A 12,644-nucleotide genomic window follows, 5' to 3' on the forward strand; every position below is an offset into this window, starting at 1 on the left:
AATGAGACTCTTGTCTCAAAAAAAAAAAAGAAAAAAAAAAAAAAAGCCCGGGCATAGTGGCTCACACCTGTAATCCCAGCACTTTGCGGAGGCGGAGGTGGATGGATCATGAGGTCAGGAGTTCAAGACCAGCCTAGCCAACATGGTGAAACCCTGTCTCTACTAAAAATTCAAAAAACAGAGCTGGGCGTGATGGCGTGCGCCTGTAATCCCAGCTACTCGGGAGGCTGAGGCAGGAGAATCGTTTGAACCCGGGAGGCAGAGGTTGCAGTGAGCCGAGACCGTCCCATTGCACTCCAGCCCAGGCAACAGGGCAAGACTCCGTCTCAAAAAAAAAAAGAGGAATTCAGTAAATATGCTAAACTTGATATATCTGTGATCAACATGGGCCGTTGTCTCATATACTAAAGGCAAACAGATCATTCTCATCTGAAGAACGTTCATCAGGACAGGGACTGGGTCACACACCCTCACACCTACCCGCTCATCAAACCCGGCGATTCGCACGTGGTACTCTGGCAATGGCTTTCCCCTACCGTCATACTGACCTAAAACAAACCAGAACCTTGCTTAGGAACAGCTTGTTAGACAACCGCCTGTATTTTAAAACATGCCTCTTGATCTACTTTTTAAAAAGCCAATCTAACATGATAAAACCTTTTACTGAAAAGTTTTCACTTAAAGGGAACTGACTTTAAAAAAAATGTTATTTCTCGGCCGGGCACAGTGGCTCACGCCTGTAATCCCAGCACTTTGGGAGGCCAAGGCGAGCAGATCATGAGGTCAGGAGACAGAGACCATCCTGGCTTACATGGTGAAGCCCCGTCTCTACTAAAAATACAAAAAATTGGCCGGGTGTGGTGGTGGGCGCCTATAGTCCCAGCTACTCGGGAGGCTGAGGCAGGAGAATGGCGTGAACTCGGGAGGCAGAGCTTGCAGTGAGCCGAGACTGCGTCACTGCACTCCAGCCTGGGTGACACAGCAAGACTCCATCGCAAAAAAAAAAAAAAAGTTATTTCTCATTTTGACTGATTATGGAAGTTAGCACTCTATTCTAATAGCATGGACAAATCCTAAGTAGAAAAAATGATGCATTGACTAGAACACTGCATATTCTCAAGGCCAATCAAGCTGCATATGACAAGGCTGACATTTAAATGTTTTTCTTGAAATGAACCATATGCAACTGCATAGTCATTATTAATAACAAAGAAAAGTGTTTCTCCAAATATGTTTTTTCTTATACCCACTGAAATGAGAATATGAACAACCAGATTAAAACTTTTTTTCCTCTGGCAAATTCGGGGTGAGGAAAATGGAATGTACACAGGTTTCCTCTGAAAAAGTCACGCCTTGAAATCTGGCCAATTTGCTGTGCATCTCTATCCTTAATATTATGATCTTTTTTCCTGCAGGTCAGTGACTTATCATTAACTTGTCACTTTTTTTTTTTTTTAAAAACTTGTCACTTTAAATGGAACTGTGTACACATCCCAGGAAGTAATCTGCCTCTATACCTGTATATTTCTGAAGAAAAGTTATTCAGGAGCATAGCATGAATACATTCAGAGGAAATCTATGATTGCTGTTTACCATTATTACCAAATGAAAATCTGAACTTTTGTCAGAATCAGAAATATAAGAACTATAATCTCATTAAACATTTAGTAATGTGTGCTCATTCATAATTATGGATTTTCCTAATGATGAAAAATTCGGTGAATTTTAAAATTCTTTAAAAAAAGAAATAACTGTCAATATCCCAGTATCACTATTCCAGAAACCACGAGTTCTTATTACAGTGCTGTGCTCCTGACAGTACAGTTTTGTCACCCCTGGAGGTTAACTCACCGGGAATCTCCAGCTCATTTCTCAGGAACTCCACTTTGAAGTCGCTCATCCAGGGTGAACATTCTTTCAGATTCCCAGGGGGCTTTGAGTCTTTGTTCATTTTTAAAAGTAGCATGTTGGTAATGTCGTTGAAGTCACTGAGCTTCATTCTCAGTAGTTTAGAACCTCCTTTCCCAAAATGTTTATCAAATTCTTTTCCAAAAGTCTGAAATTAGTAAGAATTTACTATAAAGACTGATGTTTAGTTTGGACTTTGGAAAAGGCTCTAAGCTTATAAGTGTAATGAATGGAGTGCTCAATGGTATATGTTTCTTCTCTGCTTTTAAGATGTATAGTTTTGGTTGGGCATGGTGGCTCATGCCTGTAATCCCAGCACTTTGGGAGTCCAAGATAGTAGGATTACTTGAGCCAAGGAGTTTGAGACCAACCCGGGCAACATAGCAAGACCCCAACTCTACAAAAAATAAAAACATTAGCTGGGTGTGATGGCACATGCCTGTAGTTCCATCTACTCAGGAGGCTGAAGTGGGAGGATCGCTATTGAGCCCAGGAGTCTGAAGTGACAGTGAACTATGATGATGCCACTGCACTCCAGCCTGGGTATCCGAGTGAGACCGTGTCTCTAAAAAAAAAAAAAATTATAGTTTTGCTTTCCTTGAATATTTCAATACTCTAAAACATCCAGTCTGCCTTTTGTTTCTTGTGTTCCATTATAAGTGACACGGTTAATGCCTGTAATCCCAGCACTTTGGGAGGCCGAGGCAGGTGGATCACTTGAGCTCAGGAGTTCGAGACAAGCCTGGCCAACATTGTGAAACCCTGTACCCACTTAAAATACAAAAAATTAGTCGGGTGTGGTGGCTCATGCCTGTAATCCCAGCTACTCGGGAGGCTGAGGCAGGAGAATCACTTGAACCCGGGAGGCGGAGGTTGCAGTGAGCCGAGATCGCGCCACTGCACTCCAGCCTGGGTGATAGAGTGAGACTCCACCTCAAATAAATAAATAAATGACATGGTTGACCAGGCGCGGTGGCTCATGCCTGTAATCCCAGCACTTTGGGAGGCTGAGGTGGGTGGATCACGAGGTCAGGAGCTCAAGACCAGCCTGGCCAATATGGTGAAACCCCATCTCTACTAAAAATAAAAAAAATTAGCCAAGCGCGGTGGCACTCGCCTGTAGTCCCAGCTACTCAGGAGGCGGAGGCAGAATAATTGCTTGAATCCGGGAGGCGGAGGTTGCAGTGAGCCGAGATCATGCCACCGCACTCCAGCCTGGGCGACAGATCGAGACTCAGTCTCAAAAACAAAAAACAAAAACATGGTTAGTAGTGACTTTTAGTTATAAATCCTAATAAGGGCTTTAAAAACTTGGCGAAGTCATTTAACCTCTGTGCACTCATTGTCTAGTTAGTGGTCTACATCATTATGATGACACAAATAACTAGGAACAAAGTTAAAAACAACAAAATAAAGGAAGTAGTTCAATAGAAATAAATGGCTCATAATTTCTGATACCAGCTGAAGAGAAAAATTTAAGAATGCTACTTTCTTTATTAAGAGTCTTTCAAGCTATTATTTTGGGTAATAAACCAGAAAAAATATTATTTAATCTTTTTTTTTTTTTTTTTTTTTTTTGAGACAGAGTCTTGCTCTGTCACCCAGGCTAGAGTGCGGTGGTGCGATCTCGGCTCACTGCAACCTCTGCCTCCTGGGTTCAAGTGATTCTCTTGCCTCACCCTCCTGAGTAGCTGGGACTACAGGTGCACACCACCGTGCCTGGCTAATTTTTGTATTTTTAGTAAAGATGGGTTTCACCATGTTGGCCAGACTGGTCTCGAACTCCTGACCCAGTGATCCGCCCGCCTCGCGCTCCCAAAGTGCTGGGATTACAGGTGTGAGCCACCATGCCCAGCAGATATGTTTATTTCTAAAAGCAATTATTATAAGTACTCTACCTTAGAATATAGTAATTATCTCTTTGCATTAGCTTCTACTCAGATATTTACTTGAATTATAAATCTGATATCAAATAAAAAATAAATCTCAAGAGCATTACTAGCAGTTACTCAACAGTTGTCAAGATTTACCTGATCATCTCTAATTAGAAATGTTTTTACCAAATTTGTAACTAATGTCACAACATAAATCTGGTGTAAATCAAACGTGCTCTATTTTAAGACAATCCACTATAGGAAAATTGACATATATAAAACAGATTTCTTCTTTGATCTGTAAGTGGATGAAAAATGTAGAAAACAATTTTCAATTCTTAGAAAGATTAGCTATTTCCAAACATAATCAGCATCATCCTATCTGAAAGACATAATGCCCTTAAGGATCCTCTAAAGTGATATTTGAGGCACTTCGCTTTGGTAGATTATTCTTTGAACGAATGCAAGTTATTTTTGATTTGGTACAAGGTGGAAAAGTTCTGGATAGATTTTCTAAGGTACTAGAAATAAAACTCCAAACACATCTCCTGCCTGAAAGGAACAAGGGAGGCCTTTCTGCACCCTGCAGGCTTGGGCAGGATCAGGTGCTGCTGCAGGGGTAAGAACTGTGCTCCCCATGGACAGCCCTGCAGGGAAGTCTCAGGGCTTCCAGCAACAAAGTGGCCATGAATTCCGACACAACGTGCACACTGGCTGAGGTAGCAGTGTGCTGGGGGCAGGCTAGGCTGGAGGCTATGTGGAGGCCCTGCTGCTAATGGGTATGGGTTTCTTTTTTCTGGTGATGAAAATGTACTAAAATTGATATGGTGATGATTTCATGACTCTGTGAATATATGTAAAACTACTGCATTGTATGCTTTAAATGGATGACTTAAGGACCATGTGAATTATATAGTAACAAAGCAGTTATTTAAAAAGGATAAAGCTCTTCCTTTGCCCTATACATGGTGGAACTTGAGAACTCTGGCAACAAGAGTTCCAAGACTTATCTATGCCCTTAAATTTCTTGAGGTTTAATGAATAAAAGTAATTTTGACAAAAACTAGAAAGAAAAGTCAGTATGACCCATGCTAAACAGAGAGATTGTAAAGTAAGCTGTTTTAGGTGAGAGAGGAAGAACATTCGACTCTTCTGGAGATCCCTGCGTGGGGAGGGTTGGGAAAGGCTCTAAAGGAGAAATGATGCTGACGCCAAGCCCAAGGGCAAGTCTCCAGATGGAGGAGGGAGAGAAGGAGCCAAGCAGGCTGCAAAGGTGTAGCAACTGGGCTGACTGCAGTCTACTTGCTCCATCATTCTCATCAAATGATGGTGTGTTTCCCTTCCAACTCCAGCACCCTCTGAAAGATCTCACACTTACCACACTTGTCCTAGGCACAGCTCTTGGTGAGCAGTTTTGTCACATAACCCCTTTGTATTTGGGGACTGGATCTGTCTTCTCCATGTATCTCCTGAGCACCCAGAACTGTGCCCCGAACTAAGTGCTTGAAAATACTTATCAGCTTATTTAACACACAAATATTTTCTTGGCCCAATATTCAAGCCATTTGAAGAATTGGAAATCCCAATCTATATGTAACTTTCAGATCTAAAAATCTGAGCATGAACAACGTGTAATGAAACTCTGAGGTTTTACCTACTGACTCACCTGCTACCAGCCGACCTAAAAATGTTATCAATGTGTCACAGAAAGCATGAGACCTAAAGCATTCAACAGACATTTTAAATGCAGAACTGTTAAATTAATGATTACATTTAATACAAATATTATTACATTTAATAATGTAACTATTGACTGTCACAACGACTCTGCTATCAAAATAGCAGGCTGTGCCAGTCCATACCTGAATAAACTTCCTTCTAAAGGCCCCCAGGCCTGGAGCCTTTGGGTCACCCAAGGCTGCATACATTCTTTCATACATTTTTTCAATGTTTTTTTTATTTACAGGGGTTTTTGCTAGTTCAGCTCTTACATCATTGCTCCAATCCTGTCAGGGGAAAAAAAAAGTAAGAAAAAAATCAAGCTAGATTGCAATTAAGTTTTACCCAACTTATATGTTTTATGTGCCAGAAGCCGTTCTATCATTACCTTAAAGAGCAGTTCAGGATTAGAGAGCTGATCTAAGGCATTAATAAAATCTTGAATCACTCCTCCTTGATCCAACTTACTTTTAATCCTATTTAAAAAAATTTACAAAGTTTAGGCAATCAAATATCTTCCAAAAATCAATATATATTTTATATACCATACATATATAAGTTATATATTATACATATATAAAATAATGTATGTTATATATAACTAAGTATAATTTATACATATCATATATATATAACCAACTACATAGTAATTTAAAATTCCACCCAATGTTAAATGAAGCAAGAAGCATCTATTCTATCAAGAGATGAGGTTCTTAAAAAAGAATTAATACCGATCCTACTCAAACTATTCCAAAACACAAGGGAGGAGGGAATACGTCCAAACTCATTCTACAAGGCCAGTATTATCCTGATACCAAAACCAGGTAAAGACGTATCAAATAAAAGGAAAACTACAGGCCAATATCCCTGATGAACATTAATGCAAAAATCCTCAACAAAATACTTGCAAACCAAATTCAACAGCACATTAAAAAGATTATTCATCATGACCAAGTGGGACCTATTCTAGAGATGCAAGGATAGATCAAATCAATCAAGGATAGATCAAATACACAAATCAATCATATCTACACAACAGAATAAAGGACAAAAACCACTGATCATTTTAACGGATGTTGAAAAAGCATTTGATAAAATTCAACATCCCTTCATGATAAAAAAAACTCTCAAAAAATTAGGTATAGAAGGAACATATCTCAACACAATAAAAGCCATGTACAACACACTCACAGCTAGTGTCATACTGAACACTGAAAAACTGAAAACCTTTCTCTAAGATCTTGAACATGTTAAGGATGCCCACTGTTATTCCACATACTACTGGGAGTCTTAGCTAGAGCAAGCTGACAAGAGAAAGAAATAAAGGGTATCTATATTAGAAAGGAAGAAGTCAAATTATCCTTGCTTGCAGATGATACGATCTTATATTTGGAGGCACCTAAAGACTCCACCACAAAACCATCAGAACTGATAAATTCAGTAAAGCTGCAGATACAAAAATCAACATACAAAAATCAGTAGCATTTCTATATGCCAACAGTGAACAATCTGAAACAGAAATCATAGAAGTAATTCTATTTACAATAGCCACAAATAAAAGAAAATACTTAGGAATAAACTTCGCCAAAGAAATGAAAGATCTCTACAATGAAAACTGTAAAACATGGATGAAAGAAATTGAAGAGGACTCAAAGAAATGCAAAGTTACTTCATGTTCATGGATGGGAAGAATCAATACTGTTAAATCTGTCCACACTACCCAAAGCAATCTACAGAGTCAACACAATCCTTATCAAAATACCAATGACATTCTTCACAGACATAGGAAAAATAATCCTAAAATTTGTATGGAACCACAAAAGACCCAGAGCAAAAAGCCAAAGCCACCCTGAGCAAAAAGAATAAAACTGGCACAATCACATTATCTAACTTCAAATTATATTACAGAGCTATAGTAACCCAAACAGCATGACACTGGCATAAACACAGACACATAAGCCAATGGAACAGAATAGAGAACCCAGAAATAAATTCACACACCTGCAGTGAATCCATTTTTTCACAAATGTGCCAAGAACATACATCAGGGAAAGGACAGTCTCCAATAAATGGTCCTGGGAAAACTGGGTATCCATATGCAGAATAATGAAACTAGACCCCTATCTCTCACCACATACAAAAATCAAATCCAAATAGATTAAAGACTTAAACCTAAGATCTCAACCAATAAAACTACAAAAACAAAAACAAAAACAGGAAACTCTCCAGGACACTGGTCTGGGCACAAAGATTTCTTCAGTAATACCCCACAGGCACATGCAACCAAATTTAAAATGGACAAACAGGAGGATCACATCAAGTCAAAAAGCTTCTGCACAGCAAAGGAAACAATAAAGTGAAGGGACAACCCACAGAATGGGAGAAAACATTTGCAAACTACCCATCTGACAAGGAATTAATAAGCAAAATATGGCCGGGCGCAGTGGCTCATGTCTGTAATCCCAGCACTATGGGAGGCCAAGGTGGGCAGATCACGAGGTCAGGCGTTCGAGACCAGCCTGGCCAACATGGTGAAACCCTGTCCCTACTAAAAATACAAAAATTAGCGGGGCATGGTGGCGCCTGCCTGTAATCCCAGCTACTCAGGAGGCTGAGGCAGGAGAATCGCTTGAACCCGGGAGGCGCAGGTTGCAGTGAGCAGAGATTGCGCCACTGCACTCTACCCTGGGCAACAGAGCAATACACCGCCTCAAAAACAAACAAACAAAAAACAACCAAAATACATAACAAGCTCAAACAACTCAACAGGAAAAAAAAATCCAATCTCATTTTAAAATGGGGCAAAGGATCTGAATAGACATTTCTCAAAAGAAAACATACAAATGGTAAACAGGTATATAAAAACATGCTCAACATCAATGAACATCAGAGAAATGCAAATCAAAACCACAACGAGGTATCATCTCACCCCCAGCAATAACGAATGCTGGTAAGGATGTAGAGAGAGGAACCCTTGTATACTATTGGTGGGAATGTAAACTCATACAACCACTATGAAGAACACTATGGAGATTCCTAAAAAAACTACAACTAGAAGTACCATATAATCCAGAAATCCCACTACTGGATATATACCCAAAAGAAAGGATATCAGTATGATATCTGCACTCCCATGTTTATTGCAGCACTATTCACAACGGCCAAAATTTGGAAGCAACCTAAGTGTCCATCAACAGACAAATGAATGAAGAAAATGCAGTACATACATGCAATAGAGTACTATTTAGCCATAAAAAAGAATGAGATCCTGTCACTTGAAACAACATGGATGGAACTGAAGGACATTATGTGAAATAAGTCAGGCACAGAAAAACTTCACATGTTCTTACTCATTTGTGGAAGCTAAAAATTAAAACAACTGAACTCGTGGGGAGGGGAGGTGGAAAGCGGGGATGGTTAATGGGCACAAAAATATAGTTAGGAAAAACAGGATCTAGTATTTAGTGGCACAACAGGGTGACCACAGTAAAATTTTTTTTTTTTTTTTTTTGTTGAGACAGAGTTTTGCTCTGTCACCCAGGCTGGAGTGCAGTGGCTTGATCTCGGCTCACTGCAAGCTCCGCCTCCCGGGTTCACGCCATTCTCCTGCCTCAGCCTCCCAAGTAGCTGGGACTATAGGCACCTGCCACCATGCCCGGCTAATTTTTTGTATTTTTAGTAGAGATGGGGTTTCACCGCATTAGCCAGGATGGTCTCGATCTCCTGACCTCCTGATCCGCCCACTTCAGCCTCCCAAAGTGCTGGGATTACAGGCGTGAGCCACCGCACCCGGCCTGACTACAGTAAATTTTTATTGTACATTTAAAAATAACTAAAAGAGTATAACTGGAATGTTTATAACACAAAGAAATGATAAATCCTTGAAGTGATGGATACTCCACTTACCCTGATGTGATTGTTACACACTGTATGCCTGTATCAAAATATCCCATGTACCCCATAAACATAGACACCTACTATGTACCCATAAAAATTAAAAATTAAAATAAAAAAAGAGCTGCTCTTAGATAAAAGCAAATCTTGCAACTGATGTTGACGTTTTGACGTATATAACGCGATATATAGTTTCTGAAGTTACATTATGAAAGAAAAGGTCACTTTTTAAAAAACAGGTTCTCACTATGATGTCCAGGTTGGACTGCAGTGGCAACTCACAAGTTCAGTCATAGCTCACTGCAGCCTTGAATTCCTGTACTCAAGCAATTCTCCCACCTCAGCCTCCTAAGTAGTTGGAAGTACAGTCACGCACCACCATGCTTAGCTTATTTTTATTTTACTATTTTAGAGATGAGATCTCACTATGTTGCCAAGGCTGGTCATGAACTCTTGGCCTCAAGCGATTCTTCCACCTCGGCCTCCCAAGTAGTTGGTATTATAGGCACAGACCATCATGCCCAGCAAGGTCACTTTCTTGACACACTGTCTCTCACATCTTTTTCTCTTCTTTCATTTTTCAAGACAATAGCTGTCTGTTCAGAGAAACAGTATGGTGGGCAGGGCCTCAGTAGGGCAGGGGTGTGTTCACAGATAAGCCACCCATTAACTGCAACAGAAGCTGGGCCTCAGCTGGGCATGGTGGCTCACGCCTGTAATCCTAGCACTTTGGGAGGCCAAGGTGGGCGGATCACCTGAGGTCACCTGAGGTCAGGAGTTCGAGACCAGCCTGGCCAAGGTGGCAAAACCCTGTCGCTACTAAAAATACAAAAATTAGCTGGGCATGGTGGCACACGCTTGTAATCCCAGCTACTCAGGAGGCTGAGGCAGGGAGAACTGCTTAAACCTGGGAGGTGGAGGTTGCAGCCGAGATTGCACTGCACTAGGTGACAGCACAATACTCTGTCTCAAAAAAAAAATAAAAAATAAAGAAATAAAAATAAAAATAAATTAATTTAAAAAAACTAAAAAAAAAAAAAAAAAAAAAGATGCCAGCGCTTTTCTTCATCTTGTTGAAATCAATACATTCAAAATAATGAGGCAGATCTGCTCATAATTAAAAACAAACAAAAAACCCCAAAACCTCATGATGGAGAATGTCACTACAACACTACACAGTTTGTGTACAAAGCATCCTTGAAATAGTTGCGCACTACTGCTCACTCATCATCGGTCTCAACTCATAAATCCGTTTAAGAGTGGACAGGATGACACTTGAGGCCATCTACTGAGTCCTAATTAAAAGGAAGAGTCGTTCTGTGTATTTTAAATTACAGGACAATTTCAGGAGCTGATTTCAAAAATCATCTCATCTAGTCTATCCCAAGCAATCATGACCATATGAGCAGAATGTTTTGTTAGCAGTGTAAGATGAAAGTATTTAAAGGAGATACATCCTATAACAAGTAACATACCCAGAATAGATATATTCAACAAAGCGACGGCTAAGATTATTCTTCAATGACAACTCTAATTAATTTGAAAACAAATGTAGTGTCCACGTGTGTGCTTTAACCACATTTTTATAACCTATAGTATTTGATCAACCTATTCCTTCTGTAATATTACCTACCTTGCCACAAACTCCTTATTCTTATGACCAGTAGAAGTATCCTTGAAGGAATAGCTTTCGCTGCTTATGATGAAGGGATAAACAATAGCCTGCGGGTAGTTATCAGTGATTTCTTCCACAGAGTGCTGAACAGCAACGGCTTGGTCTTTGTCCAGTAAGGCCACCATGTGGCTGATCCAGCTGATGAACTGCCAGCAGGGAACGGAAGAGATCTAAAACAGAGAGCTGAAACTTAATGCTGAGTAAAACATCTCACATCATCTGTTATAAAAGTAACATATGTCCAAAATAAAGAAAACTCAGAAGTATAAAAACGCAAGTACAAAACAAGTCTTCCATCCCCTAGCTCTCTTCTGCTGCGGCAACCACTGGACTCTCCCAGGCACTTTCTGTGCAGGAGAACAGTCTTTTGTTGCAAGAATGGAATCACACGAGACAGCTGCTGCTGGTTGTTCTTAGACAGATGTATAGAAAAATCTTCTACTTCATTCCTCCTGGCGGCTATGTAGTATTCCATGTTGTTTACTGCTCTATAATGAATATTTCAATTTTTTATCACAGGTAATGCTGCAGTAGACATCCCTGTACACATAACTTTATTTATTTATTTATTTTTTTGAGATGGGGTCTCGCTCTGTCGCCAGGCTGGAGTGCAGTGGCATGATCTTGGCTCACTGCAACCTCCGCCTCCTGGGTTTAAGCAATCTTCCTGCCTCAGACTTCTGAGTAGCTGGGACTACAGGTGCGCCACCATGCCCAGCTAATTTTCGTATTTTTAGTAGAGATGGGGGTTTCACCATGTTGGCCAGGATGGTCTCAATCTCTTGACCTCGTGACCTGCCCACATCGGCCTCCCAAAGTGCTGGGACTATAGGCGTGAGCCACCGTGCCTGGCCAACTCTTTTTTTTTTTTTTTTCTTGAGACAGAGTCTCATTGTCACCCAGGCTGGAGTGCAGTGGTGTGATCTCGGCTCACTGCAAGCTCCGCCTCCCAGGTTTACGCCATTCTCCTACTTCAGCCTCCCGAGTAGCTGGGACTACAGGCGCCTGCCACCACGCCTGGCTAATTTTTTGTATTTTTAGTAGAGATGGGGTTTCACCATGTAAGCCAGGATGGTCTCAATCTCGTGACCTCGTGATCGGCCCACCTCGACCTCCCAAAGGGCTGGGATTACAGGCGTGAGCCACCGCACCCGGCCTTTTTTTTTTTTTTTTTCTTTTGAGATGGAGTCTCACTGTATCGCTCAGGCTGGAGTGCTGTGGCGTGATCTCAGCTCACTGCAACCTTTGCTTTCTGGGTTTTAGCAATTCTTTCTACCTCAGCCTTCCGAGTAGCTGGGATTACAAACACTCGTCACCATACCCAGCTAATTTTTGTACTTTTAGTAGAGACAAGTTTCGCCACGTTGGCCAGACTGGTCTTGAACTCCTGACCTCAGGTGATCCACCCGCTTCGGCCTCCCAAAGTGCTGGGATTACAGGCATGAGCCACCGCGCCTGGTCCCCTGTACACGTAACTCTTTGTGCTATATACCTGTAGGATAAATTCCTAGAACTAAAATTACAGTGTCAACTTTAAAAATTGTAATAAACATTGGTATGGAATTTTTTTTTTT

The 12,644-nt window shown here is 40.8% G+C and overlaps 1 protein-coding gene across 2 annotated transcripts in view; it reads right to left on the reverse strand.

Annotated features, from left to right (window-relative positions):
* Positions 1 to 12,644, reverse strand: part of PRKDC (protein kinase, DNA-activated, catalytic subunit) — a 187,026-nt gene that overhangs the window by 10,151 nt on the left and 164,231 nt on the right. For both annotated transcript variants that reach the window (NM_001081640.2, NM_006904.7), the window contains exons 74-78: positions 11,029 to 11,240; positions 5,890 to 5,977; positions 5,645 to 5,788; positions 1,852 to 2,056; positions 481 to 548 (exon numbers count right to left, since the gene is read on the reverse strand). In NM_001081640.2, the coding sequence (NP_001075109.1) occupies positions 481 to 548; positions 1,852 to 2,056; positions 5,645 to 5,788; positions 5,890 to 5,977; positions 11,029 to 11,240 (717 nt within the window). The remainder of the gene's footprint in view (positions 1 to 480; positions 549 to 1,851; positions 2,057 to 5,644; positions 5,789 to 5,889; positions 5,978 to 11,028; positions 11,241 to 12,644) is intronic.

This window comes from Homo sapiens, chromosome 8 (genome assembly GCF_000001405.40).
Source record: "Homo sapiens chromosome 8, GRCh38.p14 Primary Assembly".
In the NCBI taxonomy this organism is placed as follows: Eukaryota; Metazoa; Chordata; class Mammalia; order Primates; family Hominidae; genus Homo; species Homo sapiens.